Source organism: Homo sapiens, chromosome 18 (genome assembly GCF_000001405.40).
Source record: "Homo sapiens chromosome 18, GRCh38.p14 Primary Assembly".
NCBI classification, from domain to species: domain Eukaryota; kingdom Metazoa; phylum Chordata; class Mammalia; order Primates; family Hominidae; genus Homo; species Homo sapiens.
In genome coordinates, this window is record NC_000018.10 from 47,667,968 (window position 1) to 47,695,380 (window position 27,413).

General features: G+C 43.2%; 1 long non-coding RNA gene across 5 annotated transcripts, besides 1 other annotated feature; it reads left to right on the forward strand.

Annotated features, from left to right (window-relative positions):
- Positions 1-127: 127 nt before the first annotated feature.
- Positions 128-26,880, forward strand: LOC105372100 (uncharacterized). 5 transcript variants are annotated; one of them, XR_935438.3, is made up of 7 exons: positions 128-374; positions 3,395-3,586; positions 6,075-6,213; positions 12,053-12,288; positions 23,980-24,290; positions 25,898-26,101; positions 26,655-26,874. It is a non-coding gene; the product is annotated as an uncharacterized LOC105372100 (long non-coding RNA). The 5 variants fall into 5 exon arrangements; XR_935434.4 differs by having other exon boundaries at positions 176-374; positions 23,980-26,101; positions 26,655-26,880; XR_935436.4 differs by lacking the exon at positions 3,395-3,586 and having other exon boundaries at positions 132-374; positions 23,980-26,101.
- Positions 10,240-10,289: a silencer, noted in NCBI's record as "silent region_9425". NCBI's record gives its function as "represses an Ori minimal core promoter by ATAC-STARR-seq in GM12878 lymphoblastoid cells {active_cell/tissue: GM12878}" and the evidence as "EXISTENCE:reporter gene assay evidence [ECO:0000049][PMID:35858748]".
- Positions 26,881-27,413: the final 533 nt, after the last annotated feature.

Below are 27,413 nucleotides of genomic sequence, written 5' to 3' on the forward strand. Positions count from 1 at the left end.
TTCTCATAATGATAACACCGAAAATTCCACCACTGGAGCTTCCTCTCTGAGGCCTAAGGCTTTGATTTCTGTTCCATGCAAATCTCCTCAGGCAGAGTCGGACTTCCCTGTGGCTGAGGGCTATTTTGTGCGCATGAATATGCATAGAGACCTGTGATGTCAGAATGGGAACTAAGACCTAGAAAGTAATCCCTGCTGCCCTTTCGCTGGCCCAGGAAGGGGTAAATCACAGATCAGTGTCAGAGGTGCGATGAAAACCCAGGAGTTCTGATTCCTGGGTCACCATGCTCCCTTTGCCAAGGGTGGAGCCGACACCAACAGACTCTTAGCTCCTGTGCCCTGTGCATCCTGGTGTTCGTGCACGTGCTGCACGGGTGAGTCTGCCTGAAACTGCGCGTGTGGGTTAAGGTACAATATGCTTCTTATAACCACTCCAAACTGTACAGACATGAGAATACTAGGGTTGTCATTGTCATCAAAGGATTTCTTTAGATGTCTTCTCTCAGTTGTGTAGATAAAATGCAGGTTATAAAGATGCAGCTTGTATATAACTCTCTTTACAACACCCTACTGCGTAAAACCATCCACACCTGGGTGTGCCTGCCTAGTGATAGGCTTCAACATGGCTGGTATATTATAATTCATGGACAATGGTAACTACTAATGATTTAAAGCTGAGAGGGAGAAAGAATGAGTTGGTCTTTCATACAATTTATCTGTGATAGAGAAGAGCCCTGTGACAGAAGGTGGGAGTCCTGGGTTCTGGTCCCAGTTCTTTCGCTTACCAAAGGTGGAAGCTGAGCATCACTCATCTTTAAAATGGTGAGAGTGATAACAATAACTTGTAGACCAAAGGCAGGCCCCCGGAGCAAATGATTTGGGGAGATTCCTCAGGCTACATGATTTGATTATATTACATTATAACAAACATGACAGCAAGCTAAAGACATAGAATGTGATTCAGTTTTAGTATGTGCACACACACATACACGCACACACACATACACGCACACACACACACACCAGCTCTGAAGTCAAGATCCCTTTAACAGACTTGCTTATTATAGGTGACTTAGAAAATGTGAGGGCTAAACATGAACCATAGCCTGAGGTGGTCCTGCTAGAAAGCCATGTGCCTGTCCTGTCAGTCTCTCCAAGACCACTGGTAGAACAGCCCAGAATGCCAGATGGCATGGGCAGTGTGATCTGAGGAGTGCCATGAACTACATGCTCTAAAAATTTCATCCCCACCAGCTTGTATCTGGAATCATGATGTAAAATTGCTCCTATGGATAAGAATGTTAAAAAAAAATTGAGTTCAAATGTAGAATTAATACCCAAGGGAGACATTGCTGTTATTAGCCTTAACTCTTTAGCTAGAACTCATTTCTAGCTAAATTTCACTTTTAGCTAGAATTCAGTTCGATTCATTTGTCATCTAACAGGATCTGGAAAGATACATAAATTTCCACTAGAAGAGGAGAAAGGCATAAGACAGACCTCAGCTGTCATTCAGGAAAGGAAGGGCCGCCAGTCTGGAGTGACAACTAGGGTCAGTGGAAGTCTGGGCAGTGGAGAGGGGAATCCTGAAAATAAGTTGCTTACTTCACTCAGAGTGTTCCAAGGACTGGCCTTGGCACCAGCATTGTCCAGGGGCCATGTCAGCTGATGTATTCTGCTCAGGGCTGTGAGGGCCTCTGAGAAGCAGAAGAAATGACTCCTGCTTTCCAGAGCTTATTGTCCAGCTGAGGCTATGAGACATTACAACATTCAGTAGGAACTCGAAGGGCATGGAGACTCAGAGCAGCATGGAGACTCAAAGAAGAAATCAGACTAACTGCACTGGTGGGAAAGGCTCTAGGGAGAAGAGGCCAACTGGAGAAAAGGACATCCAAGACTGGTCCGACAGGGGTGGGCAGAGGGAACAGTGAGGAGAACAATGGAGAGGACCCACAGCTCACCAAGGCTACTCCAAAATATCCCACCAGTCACAGGGTCTCCTTCTGAGTTAAAGTGTTATGTGGGTCATAGGCCAAGACTCAGACTCTACCCACAGTGACCAAAGTCCAGACCGCAGGCCAGTGGGTAGGAAGCATTCCCTGCCTTCCTCCATTCACAGGGCAACTCAGTCCTAACTCGTGTGCTGTTTAATCAACACAGAAGCCCAGCATGGACAGTCAGAGCCTGAGAGACTTCAGAAAGCTTCTCCTCCAGGAATTCTTATTTTTGAGGTCATACTTCCTTTAAGGATCTAGTGAAAAGTATGAACCAACCCTCTCCCATGAAAAACATGCACCTGTGAAATACACATATAATTTCACAAGCTTCAAAGACCCTCTCCTACTCCCCTCCACTGCAGAACCAATCCTTGAACCCCAGTTAGTAAGAGCTAGCCCAATCCTTTCATTCTGCAGAGAAGAGGATCTAAAGCAGAAGAGTAAAATCCCAAGGTCATCAAGTTAGAGCTGGACCAGAACCGGCTCCCTCTTTCTAGTAGTGCAGTGATCTTTGGCAGTTTTTACAGACTCACGGGTATCCTTAGGTATCCTTTCATATTTGTATCGATTGCCATGAACATACTGTGACAAACCATCTCAAAACTTAGTGACTTGAAACAACAAGCATTCCTTTAGCTCTTGAGTCTGCAGGTCAAAGATTTTAGGCTGGACCTGGTTGAATGATTCTTCTGGTCTCAACTGGGGCTGCTCCTCTGGAGGCCAGCTGACTTACAGCTTTAAAGTCTTACAGCTTTATGCTTACCTTCTCCCCATCCCACCTACCAGACCATGCACACATACATACACACACACACACACACACACACACACACACACGCACACTTCTTTTCCCCTGCTCCAGCCATGTCTGACCCACTGTAGACAGACTTTCCTATTTCTGCTTAGCAGTTAGAAGAGGAATATCACGTCTTATCTTAACCTCCTAATGATCCTCCAGCTTTCCCCAGAGAATGGGTCTATAAATTGTACAGGATAACAGGGAGTTTAGCCTGCTACATTCGTGGTCACCTTCAAAAAAGGTGGCCCACCAGCCAGTTTCTTCCCACAAAACAAGGCATTAGATCTCCTACAGGGCGCTTTGTTGGTTAAATCACCCGTGCTACTCCAGCCGTAGCAAATCTAATCCAGGTCCAGTGCATAACCTGAAGCAACTACAAATGACCCAGACACCAGGGTGCCACTAAGGTAACCTGGCTTATATTCTACCATGCACAGGCACTTCATACTGAATGCTGCAAATTGGCCACCAAAATCCTCTGTTTGGGAAGACTAAATGTTGGCCGAACAAAGAGAAGATGAGTCACAGGATTTGTGGTGGTTGTCCTTATCCTACTTTTTCATTTCCCTATAAAAAATGTTGCACATCTTTGTTTTAGAAGAGCTGCATCCTGGGACAATTTTATGGCTGATGAGAACATATCCTGATCCACTCCACATTTCAGTGTAACCTTGCAGTATACCTGTAACACTGGAGGCACACATCTCTTCCCTAGCAGCCCTTAAGAACCTGAATGGTAGAGAGAGGGAGGATCACAAAAGTTTGCTTCCAGCTCTATACTCACCCACAGGTGATTCCATATTTGTTTGTTTTGACTGTGTCTTTTTAATTCTTTTTTTTTAAACTGATTCATTGTATTGATGTCACTGACTAGCTTACCATGGTTCTTAATTACTTGCAGTCCGATAAGGGTATCATCAGGTTAACTTAGTTTCTGTTTTATGTAATTACAATACCAAACTCCTCTCTTTCATCGTCTGCCTTTCCAGTATGTTGGCCACAGAGCATTGTCATCCTCCCCATAACCCACAACACTCAGAGGGCACTCAGAATGAGGATGGGTGGCTCATTATCTTTGTCGATCTGCCCCAGAGTTAGAATCCCTGATGGTAGTATTACTTTCCAATATATGGGGCCTGTGTTCACACTGTTGAAATGTTTCTTAATTAAGAATCTTTTTTTCTGTCTTATGCATAAATTAGTCAAGGTAATTATTGTAGCATTATTATTATTACATTGTACTTATAGAGCACTTACCTCCAAGGTGCTCAAAGTAGCTTATAGATTTTTTTAATCTAATGAACTCTCGTAGCCTCTAGGCAAGATGGAGAGCAGAGCAGGGATTATTAGAGTCACATTATAGTTGGAGAAATGGGTCAGGCCAGAAGTAGGGGTGGCTGTGGGTTGCTGCAAAATAACTCATTCAGATCCATGTTTTCCCTGTCTGTGGAGGTATGAGAAGCGAGCAAAGGGCTATCTTTGGGGTAGGAAGAGCGCCTTCTCTACCCGCAGAAAGCACAGGCAGGTAGCAGCTTTTGAGCCCAGAGGGCCCCTCCAGCAGGGTTTGGATCTAGAAAACACACAGGAGATATTAGTTGTTTTCTCCCTTCCTCTCCTAATTTCCACTTGCCATGAAGTTTGACCAGGTCCCCAGACTGCTACTTTGTGGTGCAGGAAGCAAAGGGTATAAGGAGAGAGGAGGAAAACTTAGCACTTGGCATCAGCACCAGTTTACTCTGACCCTGACTCACATTATTGCATTTTCACATGCCTCTTTCTGATGCTCTACATTTCTTGGGAGCAGCTGAGCAGGGTAGACTTAGCCACAGACAGGCACCATCATGGTCTGGTGGAAATTCCTGTGCTGATGGAGATGGGGACGGGGGGCGGGGTCCAGCTCACTTTAATTTGACTAGAGGGCAGCAGGAGATAGCAGCATTTTGTAAGAGCCTTGAGTTAAAACTTCCTGCATTAAGTACTGACAAATATAGAATGTGTGATGGGTGACTCAGAGAATGACCGTTGCAAGTACCACACAAAAATATTAATAACAACAACAATATCAAGGTACTGATCTTGCAGGTCTATTTCTAGGTATAGATCATAGACTTTCTCCTCTCTCACAAGATTGCTAGGGTATGTATGGCTGTCGACGTCCACATTGTTATAACTCAGCAGAATCTAGTGGTCACTCATCAGCATATAAGCATATCTTATTGCTTGCAGGGGAGAAAAATGGTAACTGACAGTGAGCAAAGACAATCTCATGATACATTTGGTAACTATAGGGTCTCTGCTTCCAGAAGACTCTCATCCATTTCATTAAGCAGATCCAATTCATGGTGATCCATGTGCTCCCTCAGCATAGAAAACCTCTTTCTTACCCTTGCACTGTCTGCCTTAGTCAGTACATCCATTAAGTCTCAAATCAGGCATCATTTTTTCATTTTATAATAACTTTTGACAATAGTGCCCATCCCTAAAAGACCAGGCATTATTCTGGGCACTGGGGTATAGAAGCGACAAAACAGATTGAAAAAAAAAAAATCGTTGCCATCACAGAGTGGGGAAGGTGAAAGGACAGATAACAAAGAAATAGCAAGTTATCAAATAAGTTAGAAAGCTGTCAGTGCTATGGATAAACATTAAAGCAGGGAAGAGGTACAATTTTAATAGAGTGGTTAATGAAGCCTTTGAGAAAGGACTTGGAGGGAATGGGAGAGTGAACCATGCAGATTTGTGACAGTATTCCAAGTAAAGGGAACAGGGAGTGCAAGGTACCAAGACCAGAGGATGGTTGACCCCTTCAAGGAAGAGCAAGAAGCAGAGCAGCTGTCAAAAACAGAAAATAACAAATGTTGGCAAAAATCTGGAGATTTGGAACCTTTGTGCACTGTTGGTGGAAATGTAAAATGGGAAGCTGTTGTGAAAAAAAGTTTGCTAACTCCTCAAAAAGTTAAACATAAAATTACCAAATGACCCAGTAATTCCATTTCTAGGTATCTACCCAAAGGAACTGAAATCAGGGACTTAAACAGATACCTGTACACCAACATTCTTAGCACCATTATTCATAATAGCCAAAAGATGGAAATACTCAAGTGCCCATCAATAGATGAATGAATAAACAAAATGTGGTATAGCCATGCAATGGAATACTGTTCAGTAGACCACCATAAGGACTTTGACTTAGACTTTAGGATGGGAGTCGTGGAGGTGAGGAAATGGGGTGTGACATGATCTGACCATCTTTTAATAGACTTCTATGTTATGAATAGATCAACGAGGGGCAAGGATAGAAGCAGAGACATCAATGGAGAAGAGGCTATAGAAAGATTCTGAGCAAGAAATGACAATGGGTTGGTAATGGTAGTGCAGGTGATAAGAAGAAGTCACGTTCCAGATGTACTTTTTCAGGTAAAGTGTAAATACCAATGAATTGGATGTAAATTATGAAAGAATGAGAAGAATTAAAGGTGATTCAAAAGTTATTTGACCTAAGCTCCAGAAAGGATAATGTTACCATTAACTAAATAAATAGTAAGATGGCAGGGAAAGCAGGTTTGAGGATAAGAAGATCAATGCCTCAGTATGGAACATGGATTTAAGTGCTTATTAAACATCCAAGTACAGATGTCTAGTAGGTAGTTGACTATATGAATCTTGAATTTGGGAGAGCAGTTCAGATTAAAGTTTTTAGAGTCATCAGCATGTAGTTGAGACTAGTTGAGACCACTCAAGAATAATAGAAAAGGAGTATCCCAAGGACTGAGCTGTGGGGGACCAACATCAAGTGGTCAAGTTGATGAGGTGACTGAGAAGCAGCAGTCAGTGAAGCAGGAGGAAAAATAGGAGTATGGGATATCTCGGAAGCCAAGTGAAGAAAGTGTTTTTAGGAGAAAGAGTGATTGACTGTGTCCAATGCTATTGATAGTTCAAATAAATAAGGACCAAGAACTCGCAATTAGATCTAGAAACATGATGACTTGATAAGAACAGTCAGTGGAGAGGACAGGGCAAGAGCCTAAACGGGCAAGTTCAAGTGAGAATGGGAGGAGAGAAATTGGAAACAGCATATGTAGAGAAGCCTTCTGAAGGGTTTTGCTAAAAAGAGAAAGAGAGAGGTGGGGCAGTTGATGGAGGGGAAAGTGGAAGGAGTCGGGGTCTCAGAAGCTCCTCTGTTTCTCTGGCTGGTTAGGTGCCCCTCCTCTGGGTTTACACCCTGACCTTTGTGTGTATGCCTTCCCAAGCAGGCTGCAAGCTCCTGGGAGGCAGGAAGTGTGTATCTTAGTCATCTCTGAGTCCCCAAGGTCTAGCAATGTGTCTGATATACAGCAGCTCTCAGAAAATATTTGCTTAACTGAACTAAGTACAGATTTGATCACAGGCAGATTGATTTGCAAAGGAGTAAAAATTGGTGAAGAAATTAAAAAAAAGAACATCCAGCAAATCATCTGAATGGGATATGAATCATGAATCAGGTCCTGGCCCTGGGATATGCTTTACATCTTGGAGGGAAGATATTGTGCCTTTAACAAACAAGATGGAGCTCTCAAATGCATTTTCCTTAATTTGACACTCATCTCTGCCATGGTCAAGTGTAGATTAGTGTAGCCTATGAAACCAGTGCCACTAGAAGAAATGTACCCTATGTTAGCAGGACTCAGCTATGAGGTCAATACCTGATGACATTAAAGGCTTGATTCATTGGCCAAAGTAAAGTCAATTGTTTTGAACTTGAATTCAAGTGACTAACAGCAGCTTGCTAGTCCTGCTTATTTCTCAATTTTCAGTGACTTTTATGAAGATTTTTAGACAGTAGACATCCAGATGGAGATGGATTTGTGCTTCCTTTTCTACCCTACAGTGAGAAGCAAAAAGGCCGCCATATCCTCCATAGAAGGCCAAGAATGTAATAACTCTTACTCTCCCCTTGGCTGAGTGACAGCTTGACAGCTAACATTTAACTCTGTGCCAAGCACTATATTAAAGCATTTTACATGTATTAACTCATGTAATCCTCTCAACACCTTCATGGAATTGATTCTATTACTGGTCCTGTTCTCTGGTTGAGAAAATTAAAGCACACAGAAATTAGATTAATTTATCCCAGGATACGTGGCTTATGAGTGGCCATCTAGTTCCAGCGTCTGTGCTCTGAACTATACCTGATATGGCCTCTTTCTCCTCTAAAAGGGTCTAGACTCATAAGAAAAGGCATCAAAACTTGCTTTTACTTCCAGGTGAATTGGGTTCTCTATGGAAGGGCTCATTTAACTGGAGGAAAAGAACCAGCTCTTGATTCCACATTTAGCACTAGAAAATTATTCTTTAGAAGACTAAATATCCATCATATGTGTATGTCCTTAGATGAGTCATTAGCCTTTCTAAGTCTTACTTACCAACCCAGGAAATGAGAATCATCTTACCTGCCCTATGTAAGAGTGGTTGTCAGCAGGCTTAGACTGACAGCCAGTGGGGAAGAGTGTGGCTTAAGAAAGAGGAGATCCAAGACCCGGGTCTGGCTTTGCCTATGACTGCCAATATGCCCAGGAAACATTCTTGAACTTTGTCAGTTCTCCTGTCCTCAGCTTCAAAATGATGACATTTGGCCTCCAATAGTCCTCTCCATACTAACACCCTCCATTTTGTGTGAAATGAAGAAAAACAAGGCATTGTTCGGCTTGTTGGTTTCCTCCTCCTTTATGTTGTGTGTTGACATTGCCATTGGCCATAGCACCCTAGATTGTCCAGCCCATCACTTGGTGCAGCTTGAGGTCTCATTATGCCTGGCTAAGAGGAAAGGCACCGTACCCATGTGTCTGCCCTTGGAGGCACTCTAAACAACTAGCACACACAGGGGCCCCAAATCATTTTTGGTGAAATGGACTTATTGCAGTCTCTTCCAATTTACAGATTTTGTAAATCTAGGAGAAGACTGGCATTTTTGGAAGACCCGAGGAAGGGGGCATAAAGAAATCTTTTAGTAAACCCAAATTGCATTCAGTAACCTAGACACTTTAAGAGAATACCAGGACCACATGATTTACAATTATACAAGGTTCTGCAGGTCAATTATGCTACAGGGTATAACAGAATTAGATTATTACATAGAAAGTGGTCCTGCACCCTCACTAACACTAGAAGGGAGTGTCCCTTTTGATGTTTCCATACCCATAGGCTGCCCGTTTTTTTTTGTTTTGTTTTGTTTTTTGAGATGGAGTCTCACTCTGTTACCCAGGTTGGAGTGCAGTGGTGCAATCTCTGCTCACTGCAACCTCCACCTACCAGGTTCAAGTGAGTCTTCTGCCTCAGTAACCCAAGTAGCTGGGATCACAGGTTCCCACCACCAAGCCCACCTGATTTTTGTATTTTTAGTAGAGACAAAGTTTCACCATGTTGGCCAGGCTGGTTTCAAACTCCTGACTGCTAGTGGTCCACCTGCCTAGGCCTCCCAAAGTGCTGGTGTTATAGGCATGAGCCACTGTGCCCGGCCGTGCTGCCCCTTTCTTGATTTCACCAAAACTGTAACCAAGTGCTTGACTTTGGGACCAATGGAGTTCTGGGATGCTCTCACCAGTCTTTCCAGGAGGCTCTGCCTCTCCCACTGTCTACCTGTGCCGCAATCCTAAAACAGCAACACGATGCCTCAGCTTTTACTCCTTGACATGTGCCACAGACATAGGCGGTGATGCCTCATTTCCTGCCTCTCCGAGAAGATGCTGCTCCACCAGGCTGTGGGCCCAGATGAGCACCAACACTCACTTGGTTAAACCTATGGAGATGAAAATCTTCCTAAAGCAGATTAAGCTTCCTTGCCTTTTTTACGGAGTAGTATGAATATGAGTTAGGCTTTTTATTTAGTGGCACCTGGAAATAGACTCAGAGAATGTAGAAGGCCCAGCATAGATGTCTTAGTCCATTTGTGCTGCTGTAACAAAAGATCTGAGACTGGGTAACTTATCACGAGCAAGATTTATTTTCTCACAGTCCTTGAGGCCAGAAAGTCTAAGATTAAGGTGCCAGCAGGTTTAATGTCTGGTGAGGGCCTGCTCCATCAATGGGCCTCATCTCACAGTGCCATCTTCACCTAGTAGAAGGCAGAAGGGTCAAAAGAAGATGAATCCTGTGTCCTCACATGGTAGAAGGGTGGAACTTGTCCCTTCAAACCCTTTTATAAGGGACAAATCCATTCATAAGAGCAGAGCCTTCATGGCCTAATCACCTCCTAAAGGCCCCACCCCTTAATATTACCACAATAGGGATTAGGTTTCAACATGAATTTTGGAGGGGACACATTCAAACCATATTAATCGGCTTTCCACGTAGATGCTCAAGTTTTGCAGAACCCTAGAGCTAGAAGACCTTAGATTTCACCCAACACAGTGTTTCATTTCCTCATTGCTGGCACCTGGGTAACAAGTGTTCTTTGAATGAAAGAATGCGTAAATGAATTAGTACTGAGCTGTAACACACTAATTCCTTTAAAAGCTAAGAAAGTGGTTAAGGCTATTTGCTCCTCTCTCCAACCACAGATGACCATGACTCCTTCAGCAGATGTCTGCTTTCTGTGAGTGTCCTGTCTCTTCCTTCTCTGAGGTTTCACCTGCCATGATTTACTACTCTCTGTGCCTGCCTATGGAAGCAACTTCTCTTTTCATTTCACCAATTCCAATATGTTGATTAACCAGAAACCAGATAATCAATCTTCCTTAGGTGGTACAAAAAGTAAAGGTACCCAGACTCTGAGACAGCACCAAAGAGTCTCTCCCATTGGCAAAGGGCTTGAATTTCAGTGTATCAAGAGGTGAAACCTATTTTGACTTGGACTTACCATTCATTCATTTATTCAATACTTATTTGGTTCCAAGCATTTGGACCACTAGATAGCTAGATTTCAAAAAAGTGAAATGGGGGCTAGCCTAGCCCATAAAACCAGTTCTGACATGCTTGACCTGACGTGAATAGGTTTTCAGTGGCCTTTCCAATATAGGTCCTTTATTCTACTGTCTGCTCTAAAATGTAGATGAATTTTTTAGCTCAAAGATTGTATGGTTTTATTAAAGTCTTTAGGCCTCAGATTTTTTTATGCTAATTGGTTCCAAAGAGTAAATTGAACCCACTTTTGAATTTTACTCATCTGGCACATCAAGGCAGGACTGAGGCTTAATTAACATTTCTCAGTATTGATACTTAAGGTACACCATATTGCTTTGGCCAACAATGGGTATTCTCCAAAAAAAGAATTGCTAATAAGGCCTTGGTTCAAGGATTTTATTCCTAGGGCTTTTCACCATAAGTACCTGATGGTATGAGGCAATACATTCTGTTGAGTACATCCCTATGTAATTGAGAAAGCCAGTCTCACGACTTTTGAGCCAGCCATCCTCGACTCCTGTGCCTGCTGGCTGCTGTGACTGCAATAGAGTCACATCCTGATGTCTAAATATATAAATGTGCAAAGACAGTTAACTAGGACTTATTTGTGCCTTGGGAATTAAAAAAAAAGTAATTAACTGGTATTTTTAACGCATTTTCTCTTTACAGGATGATCTAGTTAAATGGTTCAGTTATAAGATCAGGGAATTTGGTACCTTTTGAAATAGCCCATCTTAAGTGGTTTCAAAGTTATCTTAATGGGCTGATAGCTTGCGCTTTGTCTCCCGGAGAAGCTAAAGGAGAGGGCACAGTTGATCTGATGAGCAGGTTGAAAAAGATGCAAGGACACAGAACAAAGAGGTCACAGTCAGCACCCACCGTGGTCAAGCCAGGAGTAAGCAGTTCACTCCCTGGGCTCAAGAATGTATTTAAAATATTATCTCAGATTTAGAAAAAAAATTTCTATCACCAATGCAATTAAAATACCCAATTTATAATCTGTAAGGAATAAAAATATCTCTAACTTCTTTAGACATCAAGCTACAAATTCTACATTTGGATCTATTGGTCAGTCCACACTGTTAGCTTAGGGGTCAGGAGAGTTCTGGGTAAGGTGCACTGTCCACTAGCATCTACAATGTGTAAAATGTGTATAATAGCATGGGAAGAAAGATAAAGTGTCGCCAGCCTCCAAGATGGCCCCCAGTGATCCCGCCTCCTGATCTTCGTACCCTGTGTAGTCCCCTCCTATATTATATCAGATTTGTTCTACATGACCAACAGAATATGGCAGAAGTGATGGTATGGTATTTTTGAGGTTGGGTTATACAAACACTACAGTCTCTGTCTCTCTCCCCTCTCCCTCTCTGTTTCTCAGATCATTTGCTCTGGAGAAAGCCAGCAGGCATGAGAGGCCCATGTGGTGAGGAACTGAAGCCTCCTGCCCACAGCCACATGTGTGAACTTAGAAATTAGAAGATCTTCTAGCCCAGTCAATGGCTGTACAATGGCTACAACCCTGGCTAATACCTTGACTTCAACCTCACGAAACACTGAGCTAGAACCACCCAACTAAGCTGTTCCTAGATTCCTCACCATCAGGAACTGTGTGCTGTAAAAATGCTTGTTATTATAAGCCACTAAATTTTGAAGTGTTGTGTGACACAACAATCTGTAAATAATTCAGAATAGTAAAATATGAATGGGAACACAAATGTACAGACATGGTATAAGGAATAATTGGATGGTCACAGTGGGTCATTTCTGCCCTCTCATATCTCAGAGCGATTACACCCTTTAACCTCTACTTCTCCCCTCTTCCTGAAAATTCTGCTCAGGGCTTAGGCTTCTAGGAAGCTTATCAAAGCTAGCCTCTTTGCTTTTCATTGGTGTTATTTGTGGGTGTTTATCCCATTAAGGCTGTGGGGGCCCAGCCCATATGGCAGCTTTAAACCTGATGCCTTTTTAGGCCCTCAGCTGTCTGAACAGGAAAGACCCTGGGGCCCAGAAGATCTCTCACTTCTTAGCACAGTGAGGCTGCTGGGCCTTTGACATTGTGTGCACATCTCTGAAGAATTAGAGTTGGGGCAAGAAGGAACAGAAACCCTGCAAGGAAGATCCCCACCCACTGCTGTCTTTTGCTGCTATTTCAGATTAAGTAAAGCAAACCCTATAGATGGGAGAGGCGCTCTTCTGAAGATGACATTTTCCTTAACTAGATACAAGGAGACAAGTGACCTGAGACAGGAAAGCAGGCTAGCCAAATAAATGAGAGTATCAGCCAGAGTTCTTCATGCAGGAAACAAATCATTTAATTTGTGTTAAGCAGAAAATGATTTAATATGAGAAACCGGTGCTTAGAAAATTAGTGAAAGGGCTGGAAGAGCTTCCTTTAGGCTGGATCTCTGGGAATGATATCCTGAGCATGCACTATGCCCAACTGACCAACCATGAAAGGTGGAAATCAGGAGGCCCCAGTGGACCTAGTGATGTAATCTGCAATCTGGGGAGGTCATTGCTGCTTTTGCAGCAGCTCCCTTCAATATCCTCAGAGCTTAGTGTTTGCACCTGCAGCTCTGCTTAGCAGCCTAAGGTGTCCATGCCATTAGCCAAACTCTCAGGAAAATTGCCCTGGCATTAGTCCCAGCTTCCAAATCTCACACAAGTATATTTAATGGACAGAATTCCATTCTCAACCAGAACTCTAGAGGCCAGGGAGTCAGTAACTTTTAGATTTCCAGACTCTGAAATTCAGAAAGGCACATTACAAAGAGGTTGGATTAATACTTAATACAGATTAACCATTTCTAAGGCAGAGGGCAAGCTCCTAACACCATGGCTGAGCTTCTTTCTCTTCTAGATGTAAAATTAGAGGAATCTAGATGTGCTCAAAGGAGCTTCCAGATGACAGAGGTTAAAGATAACTTCTGTACCATTGAGGTGGCTGAGGGGACAGCAAATGATCCTCTTTAGGGGATCCCAATTGAAGATGAATGAGCCAAGTCTTATTTGCATGATCTCATTCCTGTTTCCTTCTTTACCTGTTGCTATCCCCACACCTTTGATAAAATCTCATCTAAATATTTCAGCTGAACTCAGCTGGAATTAAGAGGAGATTTTTATGGCCAAATTAGGGGCAAAGCATAAAAAGGGAAACATGATGGTGACAGCAGTAATTATAGTGAAAGATTCCCAAGAGGAAGTAAACCTTGGGGAATGTCTTAGTCTTCTCAGGCTGCAATAACAAAAATACTTTAAAAAGGATGGTTGACTTATAAACAACAGAAATTTATTTCCCACAATTCCGGTGGCTGGGAAGTCCAAGGCCAAGGTGCCAGCAAATGTGGTGTTGATTTCCTGATTCATTGATGGTAGTCTTTTTGCTGTGTTCTTACATGGCAGAAGAGGTGAATGAGCTTCCTGGGGCCTCTTTTATAGGGCATGAATCTCATTCATGGGCTCCACCATCATGACCTAACGGCCTCCCAAAGACCCCACCTCCTAACACTATCCCTTTGGGGGTTAGGATTTCAACATATGAATTTTGAGGAGGCATAAACATTCAGACCACAGCATGGAATAAGCCTCAGCCACCCTCTCTGCATAGACATCCTTTCCCTGTGCTCATCTCACAGGATACAGGCTTATTGTTGTGAAGGGAGCTAGTAGTATTCCTGCGAGCCAGACACCACAGCTCAGACTCCTTCCCCCAGCCCCATTCAGATGTAGGAAATTAACCAAGTGTCTTAACATCTTAGGCCTTCACCGCCTCATCTCCAAATGTCAGGGGGCTGAGCCAGAGGAGCTCTCCAGTTTCCTTCCAGCCCTAAAATCCATGAGTCCAGGCTCATGTTTATACCAGAGGAATAACAAGTGAGAAGGAGGAATGGGGCTGATATCTCTACCACCTGCCACAATGCCACTAGACAGTGGAAGAGAGATCCCTTGAGAATTTGAGTGAGTGTGGGTAGTTGTCAGAATAGGGCAGATTACCATCAAGGTCAATTGCAAGAGCAAGAATCTCATCTGAGATCAGAATGGCTAGCAACAGGAGGTGGTGGCTTCTGGAGAGTCCTTGCTCTGAAGATGGTCTTAGGTGTCCATTCTGGGCCCATTCATTGGCACCTTCCTCTCCCAAATTAATGTTTTCTTATAGACCTGGGCTCTTTTAGGGCAAGAGCCCCATCTAAACCTGTCAGCCGTCAGCATCTGAGTCTGAAGCTTTCGCCAGCAGGCATGGGAGGTGAGCTCTTCTCTGTAAGAACACTTTGGAAGTCACCAGGGGTTATACAGATGGAAGGGATTATCACTGAAATATAATTTCAACAAAGGTGGTACAATGCTCTGTTCCACTATGATGAAATGTGTCATTAAATATAGAAATAGATCAAGCACCTTCCCACTGAGATCCTCTGGCACCAAGTATCTAGGTGAGAAGCTGAGTAGCTGTGAGAGCTCACCAAATGTGAAAGAGGTGGGAGGAAAAATTCCTCACTAGGGAGATATACTTAACTAGACTTATAAATAGCCCGATCGCAGCTCGTTTGATTAATTTGGGGAAAAGGAGTAAAAGTGTTTTGACAATTCATCAGATTTCATGCTTTCAAAGCAGTTGCTAATGTAAATATTAGCATCCAAAATGAACAAATTGTCTTTGGTAATTAAATGCCCTAATTTACAGGTTCCATTAGCAGAGAACAGAGATAATTTCCCCCCTTAAATTAACTTTTCTCTCCTTCTCCCTTCCCTGTCTCAACTTGATAAGACAAATGGATGTGTAGGGGCTCCAGAGGGGGCTGGAGGAAGTTTACTCTCTCTTGGTCTGAGTGCAGAGGACTGAGTCAGTCCCTGAAGGCAGAGCTCAGAAAGAGTGGAGTGAGTACCTGCTCCCAGAAAGCTTAACTCCCAGTGGCTGTGGCACACTGAGAAATGACCATCCCAGGGGCCAGGAGTGGCCTGCTGTTAGGGTCAGGAGTTCTCCTAGTAACTGTGCGAGATCTGCCTTCTGTTGTCTCTCTCTAGATCAGGATGTACCCCTTGGAAACCTATACTGGAGAGAGGTGGCCAATGACCTGGAACCCAAGCCTGGCCCCCAATTTCTAAGTCATCATATTTGTTCTTTCAAATACCTCTACCTTTCAGGATCTCTCTTATTCCACAGAACTCCTCTAAGGAGCCTAAGACTGTGCCCTATTACTCAAAACCCTTGGTTGACTACACTCCATGAAGTGCTGGCTGATGGCTACTACACATAAGTCCTGGAATGTTTGCATTCTCATAGGGGGCTACAGACTCTTAAACCAGCATCAGCCAAACAAGTTGAGCTGAAGTTAAGTGGCCAGTGACTCACCACAGTGCTGAGGGAGGAGTTTGGACAGGAAGGCCTAGCTTCATCCCTCAATTCATACTCAATTTCCTATTATCCTGTTTTATTTAGGGTGACTAGGTGAGGTGAGTGAGGCTCCTAGGGAGCAAAATTGAAGAAAGTGTAGAGCTGGCATTTGCATGCCTCTGACAGTGAGTTCCTTCTCAAATCTGCACCCTAGGAAGGTGGCAGAGATATCAGCCCCATTCCCTCTCCTCACTAGTTATTCCTCTGCCATAAACATGAGCCTGAACTCATGGCTCTTAGGCCTGCAAGGAACTTGGAGAGCTCCTCTGACTCAGCCCCCAGTGTTCAGAGGTGAGGCAGCAAGGACCCAAGGTGTTAAGGCTGGACCTAGACCTGGATGGGGTGCCATGGAGGAAGATGGGGGACTTAGGAATGGGATTGGTGGCTGGGCTCTTTGCTCTTTGATCACACCACACACACACACACACACACACACACACACACACACACACACACACACAGAGAGAGAGAGAGAGAGCCCTGAGAAGACCTATAGTGAGGCAAGACTCCTCACTATTCTTCTAGGTCTCCAGCACATGGACAAAGGGAGGAAAGCACAGAGGATGGCTTTGAGAGAAGATTGGTTAAAGAAAGCGATAAGGAGAAGTGGGAAAGGGTCACCAGAACCTGTGGCCTGGCCCCATGGGATCTCTGTGAAATGTCCTCCTTCATAAAAAAAAAATATATATAATATATATATTTTATATATATATATTTTATATATATTATATATATTTTATATATATTATATATATTATATATATTTTATATATATTATATATTATATATATTTTATATATTTTATATATATTATATATATTATATATATTATATATATAATATATAAAATATATATTTTATATATAATATATATTTTATATATAATATATATTTAATATATTATATATATATTTTATATATATTATCTATTATATATATTTTATATATATTATCTATTATATATTTTATATATATATTTTATATATATTATATATATTTTATATATTTTTATATATATATATATCAAGAACTCAATAGTTACTCACATACTAAGAGCCTACTATGTACCTAGACTGTTCTAAGTGTGGGGAAGGAGTGGGGAAGCAAACAAGCGTAAGGCATGTAGCTTGCCCTGGAGGCATTGACAAGCCTGTAGGGGAGAAAAAGATTTGACAAGTTAGCAAATCATGTAAGTCAGGAACTTCCAGCAGGAACAGGAGTGACTGCTGGGGCAAGGGATCTATGGGGATACAAGAGCAGGTGTGTAAGTCAGAATAGGCTAGGTTATGCTGCAGTAACCAATGACTCCAAACTGTCTGTGGCTGACAACAGCAACAGTCTGTATCAGATTGATTTCCAGCTCACTGCACATGAACAAGCTATGCTCTGTTCCATCGTTTTCGTTTGAACCCAGGCTGATGGAGCAGTCTCTATCCAGGACATTTCTATTTGTCATGATAGAGAGAAAAGAGAAAACCAGTTGGTAAAGCTTCTCCTTGGACTGTAATACTTGTCATGTCCCCTCACAGTTCATGGAATGAGATTCACACTGAGTGTCATTCCACTCATGTTATGACCAAAGCAAGTCACATGCCCAAGCCAACCATTGATGGAACAGGGAGATATAATTATCCTCAGGAAAGAACAGAAAGTATCTGAGAATAATAATACAATCTCCTACAGCAGGGAAAGCTTCCTGGGGAAGAAACAATGTGACATGGGTCTTGCAAGATGAATACATTTGAAAGAAAACATCAGTCCAGAAAGGCAGCATATTCTAATGATTAGAAGTGCAGGTTCCAGAAGCAGACTGCCTGGATTAAGCTCTCTGTCCCTCAGTTTTCTCATCTGTTATATGAGAATATGAATAAAACATATTAGACAGCGTTGCTGTGAAGCTAAATGAATTAATACAAATAAATTTTGAGGGGATGGTGCCCGGAACATAGTAAATAAATACCTATAAAATATACTAGATGAATACCAGGTCTTATTATTATTTCAGATTTTGTGGAAGCCCAAAGGATTAAAGATTCAGGGTGCATTTGGAGGACAATGCAGTAGAGAACATTCTTATAGAAGTAAAAGAGTTACAGTAGACAGGACTAGCAGACAACCCCCAAAAACTGAGAGAATCAAGCCTGATTATGGAAGACCATGGATGCCAAGCTAAGAGGTGTGGGTGTGACTGATTCATGAATGTATGGACCAATGAGCCGACTCTCAGTGATCCCTTGGAAGTGTCATGGGGGTTTCCATTAAGTTTAGGTCAACTCTTCCACTGCCACAGGGAAATGGCAGTCTTAAGTCACAGTGGTGTCATGCACTGCTGTGTCAGAGCTCCTTCTCAGACAAGCTAGGTGACCCTAGACAAGTTCCTTCACCTCTCTGGGTCCTGAGTCTCCCCCTCTGTGAAAGGAGAGGCAGGCTTCAGGATTGGCAGGGGCCCTTCTGGCTCAGCCATCCCTATCACTCTTCTCCACTCTCCCAATCTACATCGGGCCTGGAACTTTCAGATGCTCCCTTACATCCCACCCTACCAACCTTTTACCCACTCCCTCCCACCCCAGCTCACACCCCCTCCCACCTCCATCTCCAGCAACCCCAGCTTCTTGTTTCCCAGGAAACCCTGTTTTGCCAACAGTGCCCAGAGCACAAACATGCAACCCAAGCAGCCCAAATGAGTCTCATCCCCTCTCTCCACCCACTGGAACACAGAGGACCTGGCTGGTATTTAATTAGTTTGCAATATTACATATCTGTTAAATCTTTTAATCCATTTAATAAAAAAAAGTTAAGACACATACACACAACTAACCCACTAACAATGGCCCCAATTTGTGTTTTGTCTGACTGGGAGTAATATTCATGTCTACATGAGGATGGCATGTAATTAACATGTCATAATCAAAATGACTAAGTTTGACACATTATAATCACTGCATGGAGATTATAGCATAGCCAGGGGCGATCCACACAGCCTATCTTAATATAATTTGCATAATGAAAGCATGGTGGCAGTAATAGCTTTTTTCTCTTGTTATCATAATTTCACCCAGGGCTGCAAGGGGCTCCCGCACTGTCAGATGTTGCCTGTTAAAAGTCATTGTGACTTGAAGAAGGCTGCAAAAATGGCCCAAAGTCTTGAAAAAATAGCTTGATGACTTGTCCCTTGTGAACAGAGTGGGGCAATACCAGGATGAGCCCCCCAAAAATTATTCTACAAACCCATACCCAGCAGGCATTGGGACAGGCACTGGGAACTTGATGTCCTCAGGCCCCTTGCTTGCTGAGGATGTGAAATTACCTTCTGATCAATGGCAAGTGCTGATATTCCTAGACCCCAGGCAAGCATGGCCAGACATGCATATCCCCCTAAGCAGACCCCTCACAGTTTGACAGTTGCCCAAATGGGGTTCTCATCCATCTAGGGCCATGATGCTGACCCTAGAGGTCAAAGGTACGGGTCTGAGAGCCATGCCGGCCAGTCAGTCAACCTCCATTTCATGGTCACAGACCACGTCCCTAACCTGAGTGAGTGCCTCATGGAATTAGGTGAGAAATTATGTGGGAGAACATCCACTCACACAGCATTCCCTCTTCCCCTAATTTGCCACAGGTCGCATTTAACCTGCCACTCTTTTAGCTCCCTGCGAAGCCTGCTCCTCTGTGCCAGCCAAGGGCAGTTGTTCTCTATCAATCGCCCACTCTGTCCTCTTGCTCCTTCCTCCTCACCTCCTGCTGCCCCAAGCCCACTGTCTGACTTACCCGAAACCTCAGCTAGAGACCCACTTTTATTTAACCTGCTGATACCTCCTCAGTACCACCAAAAGCACTTTTATAAGCATTACATTTTAATCTCAGAGAATCATATTAATTGGGACAGGAGGACTTTTTTGACTAGGGCCTGAACTTGGAAATAATATCCCCACACAAATTTAGAGCATAAAAATACTTATACTCACTTCTAACAAAGGAAAGGGGACACTAATAACTTTACAATGGAAAAACCTTCACCAAGTGAACAAAGTTAATATCACCAGTGGCAAGTCATGTTGATATCATGTACCCTTGACCTCATAAGATGAAAGAGTACTTCATTTCTGTGGCATTCTTCCTCTGAGTTCAAAACCCCAGTCTAATCATGAGAAAGTACCAGACAAATCCAAGCTGAGGAACATTCTTCAAAATACTTGACCAGAACTATTCAAAAGTGTCAAGATCATGGAGGAGAAAAATAAAAGACAGGAACTGTCACAGGTCAGAGAACACTATGGAGACAGGACAACTAAAGGCACGAATGGCATCCTGGTTGGATCTCAGGACTGAAAAAGATTATTTGTGGAAAAATTAGGGAAATCCAAATAAAGATCACAGTGTAGTTAATAGTATTGCATAAATGTTAATTTCTTCTCAGTTTTGATAAATGTTCTATAGTTACATAAGATGTTAACATTAGGTAAAACACTGGATAAAATTGGGTGAAGGTATACCTCCATACTATCTTTACAACATTTTAGTTTATTCGGGCTCTATGAAAATAAAAAGGTTTAAAACGACATTTTCAAAATGTCACAAAAAAATATTGAAACTGCGGAGATCTCACAAGCTTTTAGCAAACTGTCACAGAATCCAATCTGAATAGAAGTCTTTGTTCCCAACTACATTTCCCCATGGTTTAGCAAATTCTGCCCACCTGGCTGATGGCTCTTGTGACGCTAAGCTATAATTACATTTTGGTTTTCATATGAGAGGGTAGAAAGAAGAATCTGAATCTATGATCATAAACTACCCCAAAATGTAGAGCTAACTCATTCCGTGGAAGCCTGCCAACCACATAGCAAATGGGCTTGTTTTCCACCTCGTATGTGATATCATAAAGACACAGATGAAGGTGATTCAATGGTGGTTAAAACGCATAAGAAAAAAGAACTTCTAGTAAGATCCCAATAGAACTGGAAGAGACCTTTGACTTCTTGGGCCTGACCCTCTTTTTTTCTCTGAAGGGACTGAGGCTTAGAGAGCTCAGGGTCACACAGCAGATTGGCATAGAGTTGGAAGTGGGACCCAGCTCTTCAAATTCCCAGCCCAGGGATCAGAGTAAATTCACAGGAGCTCATGTGCAGAGTAGACTGTGAGGTGGTATCCTGGTCACCCATCTGTCCTGAGAGATAGAGAACTGTCAATGCATACTTCAAAGTCCTCCAGGACACATTGGCTAGTCTTGCTCTTCCTCATGGATGGTGTGAGCCTCCCTCTGCTTTCATGGCCACTTTCACCAGCTCCACTTTGCCTGGACCTGCAAGCTGCACTCCTGCACCCACCCAGAGATGCACTTTCTAGATACATTTTCTGGATGAGGCTGGATGCTATTCACAAGGCCCCAAAGCAAAGAGCTTTGTTGCCAAGTCAGGGCTGTTTTCCCCCTGCCAACACCCCTCCCTTATTTTGGGGGCTTGTCATTCACGGCTGCCTGTCAGTCATCCGGGTCCTGGTAAGGAAATGAGGCCAAGGAACTCAGGCACAGAGCCCCCCACTGCGAGGAAAATGTTGACTCACAGCCAATGCATTTTAACTCAGGGAAACTCCCAGGAAAATCAGAGGGCTGTGCCTAGGCTCCAGGGCTTTCTGTTCTTCTCCAGGCCTGGAATTAATGCCATCATTTTTTTCTGGGCCAGGAAACTGCAGGAAGGCTCTCCTCCACCATGGGCAGCCCTCCTGCCAACCAAAGGGGCCACTGCTCCACTGCGCAAGTTTCACAGCAGCTCCTTACTCAGAGACAGCCTTAGATGTGGCAATATTATCTGAAAAATAATGACTGGCCCCCTCCCCCTCAAAAACATCCCCTACTATGTCCCTTCCTGGTGCCTGGAATTTCTCCATTAGATTTGGATTCCTTTGAATTAAGGAGAGTTTTTGCTTTGTTTTTTAACCTTTGTCCTTGGCTGCAAGGAACAGAGTCCACTTAAAGTCCCCTAAGCAAACTGGGGGACACTACAGTAACCTCTGAAGGAGGAGGACAATAAGAGACGCCTGGCCATGTGAGGAGCACTGCTCCCCATGATAAGCTTTGCCAAACCCCTGGATTAGACCAGTTGCCTCCTTTATCTTTCCCAGCTTTGTATAACTTCCCTCAGCACAGCTAATACTTATACAGTGATTCTTAGAAATATTTGCTTCATTTCTCTCTTCCCATTAGAATGTAGGCTCTGAAAAGTCAGAGGCTGTTTTGATGTGCTGTCATGTCCTGGTACTAGCCTGGTTGCCAACACGGAGAGGAAGAGCAGTGAATATTACTGAAAAAAAAGAGAAGGGAAAAGGGAAAGAGGCCAGCCTGACTTTAACAGCAATAACAACCTCAGAGAGGAGGCAGAGGATGCAGCTAGGACCACCCAGCTCCTCCTAGGACATGAGAAGCTAGCCTGACACTGGACCACACAGCTCAGTGTGACCACCTGCCCCATTCTCTAAGAGCAGCTCTGACAGTTCACTCTGTTTCCAGCATTGTGAGATAAAAATCAACTCTCCTAAAAAGCAAACTGAATTTTTCCATATTGGAATTCTGTTTTCGACATTAATCATCATAAAGATCAAGGTCCCTACACAGAAATTCTTCCTACCATTAACGTTTGCCATCTGCAAAGGCAAACTAAATACAAGACAAGTACATGCAGCCATGCCTCAACCAGACAGAGCATGTGCACCCTGCAGTGCTATAGGATGCATTCAAATGAAATCAAAGTTTTGACAGTGTGGAGTCATGTATGGGATTTTATTTTTGTGTTGTATTTACCTCCCCACTCCCGAAGGCCTGTAGCCCCATCCATGAAAGCAAGAAACTGGGGCATCATTATGGGCTTCCGTTCAGCAGCAAGTTAACAGAATACCTGTTTAATGGGTCTTCTTGTATGTCTCACAATAAGTCAGAAGCAGGCCAGGTGCAGTGGCTCATGCCTGTAATCCCAGCACTTTGGGAGTGGGATGTGGGCAGATCACTTGAGGTCAGCAGTTTGAGACCAGCCTGGCCAACATGGTAAAATCCCATCTCTACTAAAAATACAAAAAAAAAAAAAATCAGCCAGTCCTGGTGGCACATGCCTGTAATCTCAGCTACTCAGGAGGCTGAGGCACGAGAATCACTTGAACCCGGGAGGCGGAGATTGCAGTGAGCCGAGGTCGTGCCACTGCACTCCAAACTGGGTGACAGACTGAGACTCTGTCTCAAAAATAAAAATAAAAAATAAAGTAATCAGAAGCAATTGCCTACCTAGCATATATGACAACTGCAAGAAATCATTGGTTAAAAACTCTTTACAATATTATTTTTAGCAATAAGTTTCAAATTTGCCTCAATTGTCTTACGCAGGGACCTTGGCATGTGAGAGTCAGGGTGCCTGGCACCCTCTATTTCATCCCTAGCCCTGACCCAAGGGTAAGTTCTGCCTTCAGACACACCAGTGGCAGCCAATATTGGATCCCATTTCTGCCACAATTCCAGTTGTTGGTGTGTGTATCACCCGTTCACACTGTTGCTTTGTCATTTAAGTTGACTAAGGGGAGAGGAGCAGAGTGCGTGTGTATGTGAGTGCACACACACCCACACACTCACACACCATTGATGCTGATTAAAGGTTTATGAGAAGCAAGAAAATCTGATAGGATTTGGGCAGAATCCGACCAGTTTTAAGTTTTCCATCCTTAAGCCGTTAAGTCCTCACAAGCCGTTATTTTTGTCCTTGATGTTGAAGGGAGACTAAGTTGGGGAATGTAAATGGCAAGGCCCAGAGTTGCTGAGACGATTATCAGATTTGTGTAAGATTTACTCTGCTCTTTAAAAAAGATCATGCACTCATCCTCAACTCTCTCTCTCTCTCTCTCTGTCTCTCTCTCTCTCTGGTTTTCTGCAACCCCAGCCTGCAGACAGATCATCAGAAAATTCAACTTTCAAGTGAGGATCATAAGCCAGAGAGTGCAGGACTCCACACCAGGGCAGATGACCTGTGGATTCCAGAAGCTCTCAGGAATTTTGCAGATTTCTCAAGGGCAACCCTGTCCATAGAACGGGGAAAAGAACAAGCCCATGCCTCCAAAGAGAAACTTCACAGTTCGCCTAAGTTTAACCTCTAGTGATTCATTCTCTTGTGTGTGGGGGCCTTCTGATCTCTGGGAGCTCCCTCAAAGGCAAACTCCCATGCAGAGGGCATTTCTGAGGACTGAAATCCAGGTGATAATAGTAACTACTGCTTTTTTAGCATTTAGTGCTAACTTTGGCATTTGGGCAACCATCAAACACTCTCTTCCATCATCTCGCCCCTCCACCCACAGCCCTGTGTTATCAATCCCCTTTCCCAGCCAACCTGGGGACAAGTTGACTTGTCATCACCATCTGTACCTCCCCACTTTACACTCTCTCCACAGTCCACTCCACTAGGGCATTGGCTGCACATGTCACCAAAACCACTCTTGTCAGTGTCACCAAAAACTCCCATGTTGCAAGATACAAAGGCCATTTTTCGGTCTCTTGTACTGAGCCTCTCCTAGAAGCATAAGGTCCCTGGGCTTCCTTGGCACCTCCTCCGCCAGCATCTTCTCCTCTTTTTGGCTGCTCCTGCCATAGTTCACCCACTGCCCTCTCCTTCTACCACTCTGTCGAGTACTGGTGCACCCCAGGGCTCAGTCCTAAGCCCCATTCTTCCCTCTATCCATGTGTGCTCCTGCAGTCCCATGGTTTACACACCATGCATTTACCAATGCCTTTATATAGTTCTCCCACCCAAACCTCTCCCTGAGCTCCAGCCAGAATCACATATACAACTGCCTACCTGACCTCCCCACTCAGATATATTACAGATCACTCGGCTAGTAGCTGGCTAAGGCAGGACATAAACTCAACTTCAGGTAGATCTGATCTCAAGGCCTGCATTCTTAATGACTCCTGGACTAGAATCCAAGGAGACAGCTATAAACTCTCTGAGAGAAGAGGCATCTCCACTCCAAAGATCTACCCAATGGCCTAGGACAGACTTATTCCATCACTTCTCATGCTGTGAGAAATCTGTCATTGTGGGATTTCCCCACTTAAGTATAACTAGGTGGTTACCTTTCCTGCAATTTTCAAACAGGGCAGATATGTTAGGGGTAACATGGACCCACAAACACCTGGTATGTCTGTGTCTTCCCAGAGTGTAAACTCTGCTCAAACATGGACACAGAAAGGCAGACAGCAGGAGAAATCATTTTCCTACAAAGAGAAAACAGATGTGTCTTGGAAGAGAAAATGAGATACAACTTTTTGTAATTTAAAAAACAAGACTTCAAACTTCAGGTGGACACCTTAGCCTTCTGCCACAGATTCAAAGGATATAAAGTAGAACTACAAAGAGCTTAAGTCCTGACTCCTAGAAGCTTGTTTCTAATATCTGCCTCCATTAGCCTTCGTCTTAAACCAGGAAGGTGGTATGAACACTCAACAAACCGTCAGTGTACTTTGGAAGAGGTGGGATAAAAGTGGACATTTTTGCCTTGCCTCTGATGTCTTTAGCGAAGCCAAATAAATCTGGAAAGAAAAATTAAATATTTCCCTGAAACCTCACAGGAGAAAAAAAGAGAAAGGCTTTCAGAAGTCCCCAGAGAAACAAGAAATGACTATTTCCAAAACAAAGTTTGATTTGAAATTATAAGAAGCTAGAGGTAGTTTTGAAAACCAGTGAACACTCATGAACTTAATCAGGCTTAGCAAAGCAGAGACAGAAATGCAGATTGGAAGTTGCCCCTGGATAGCTTGGCCAGCAGAATAAAACCCAGAGGCAGAATCAATTTTTTTTCTTTCAGATTAAAGCCGCAGCATCTCTCAGTTGAAGGCAGAGGTATAAAGTCAAAGACTCCAGAAGTTCTTGGAAAATGATAAGTCAATCTCTTGACAAATGATCCAGGGGCAACTTCGAATTCCTGTTTCTATCTCTACCTCTCTGATTACTTTAACAAGCACTTTCTGATTGGACCTTGGTAATTCCAGCAAGCCAAGACTTTCCATGGGTAAGCATAATTTATAATAGCCTTAGACACCACTCCTCCATCACAGTCACCTTTGTCATCATGAGTTTCCAAAGCAACAGGAGGTGAGTACACTTAGCCCTCCTGGAGTCTATATGTAGCCTGTAGTTTAACTATAACATTAGTTGATTTGCATCCTACATGGTTATGCTATGGTAGGGGCAGGATTCTGGAGTTGGTCCTCCTGGGTTTGAGTCTTAGCTCTACCACTTACTAGCTGTGTATCTTGAGCAAGTTATTTCATCTCTTTGAGCCCCAGTTTTTTCATCTAAGAATGATGATAATAGTAATATCTATCTGATAAGGTTGGTGAGAGGATGAACTGAGATACAGCATGAAAGTATTTGGTGCTGTGTCTACAGCACAGCAAGTAATTCAATAAGCAGAAGCTATTGTTGTTACTAGAGATTTCTTAGTCAGAGGTGTCTGACCTTGTCATAGCCATTTTCTAATCCATGGTGTTGAGTTCATGCCTCATATGTACAAAGTGTTGTTCAGGAACTCCGATAATGTCTGTGATCTGTACATTTCACAGGACTTCACCTTACCCTCTTAGATTACTGGCAACCTCGCATCCCCTGAATTCCTGTTCAGGGAGAAGAGCAAGTCCTTCCTTCAGGGACTGGAGAATGACAACCTTCACAGAACCCAGAGCTAGAGACTGAGGACTCAGAATGTAGACTGGGAATAAGAGAACTACAGCCAGGGGCCAAATCCCTCCAGCCACAACAACAACAAAAAAAAAAAAAAAAAAAAAAAAAGGCTTGATTGGGGTACATTTGACATACAAAAAAATTGCACACATTTAATGTATACAATGTGATGAGTTGGGTACATGCATACAGCCGTGAAACTATCACCACAATCAATGTAATAAACATATCCAGCACCTCCAAAAGTTTCCTTGTGCCCCTTTATTGTTGTTTTTGTTTTTGTGGTAAGAGCATTTATCAAGAGATTACCCTCTTAATCTTTTAAGTGCACAATAGTCTGGTTACCTAGAGGCACATTGCTCTACAGCAGATCCCTAGAACTTACTCATCTTGCATAACTGAGACTTTATACCCATTGAACAGCAGCTGTTTGCTTCTCTTTCCCCATTCTGTGGTAACCACCATTCTACTCTCTGCTTCTATGAATTTGGCTATTTTAGATACCTAACATAAGTAGGATTATGCAGTACTTGTTTTTCTAGTCTGCTTATTTCACTTAGCATAATGTCCTCCAGAGTCCCCCCATGTTGTCACATATGTCATGATTTTCTTCTTCTTTTTTTTTTGTTGGGGGGGTGGTG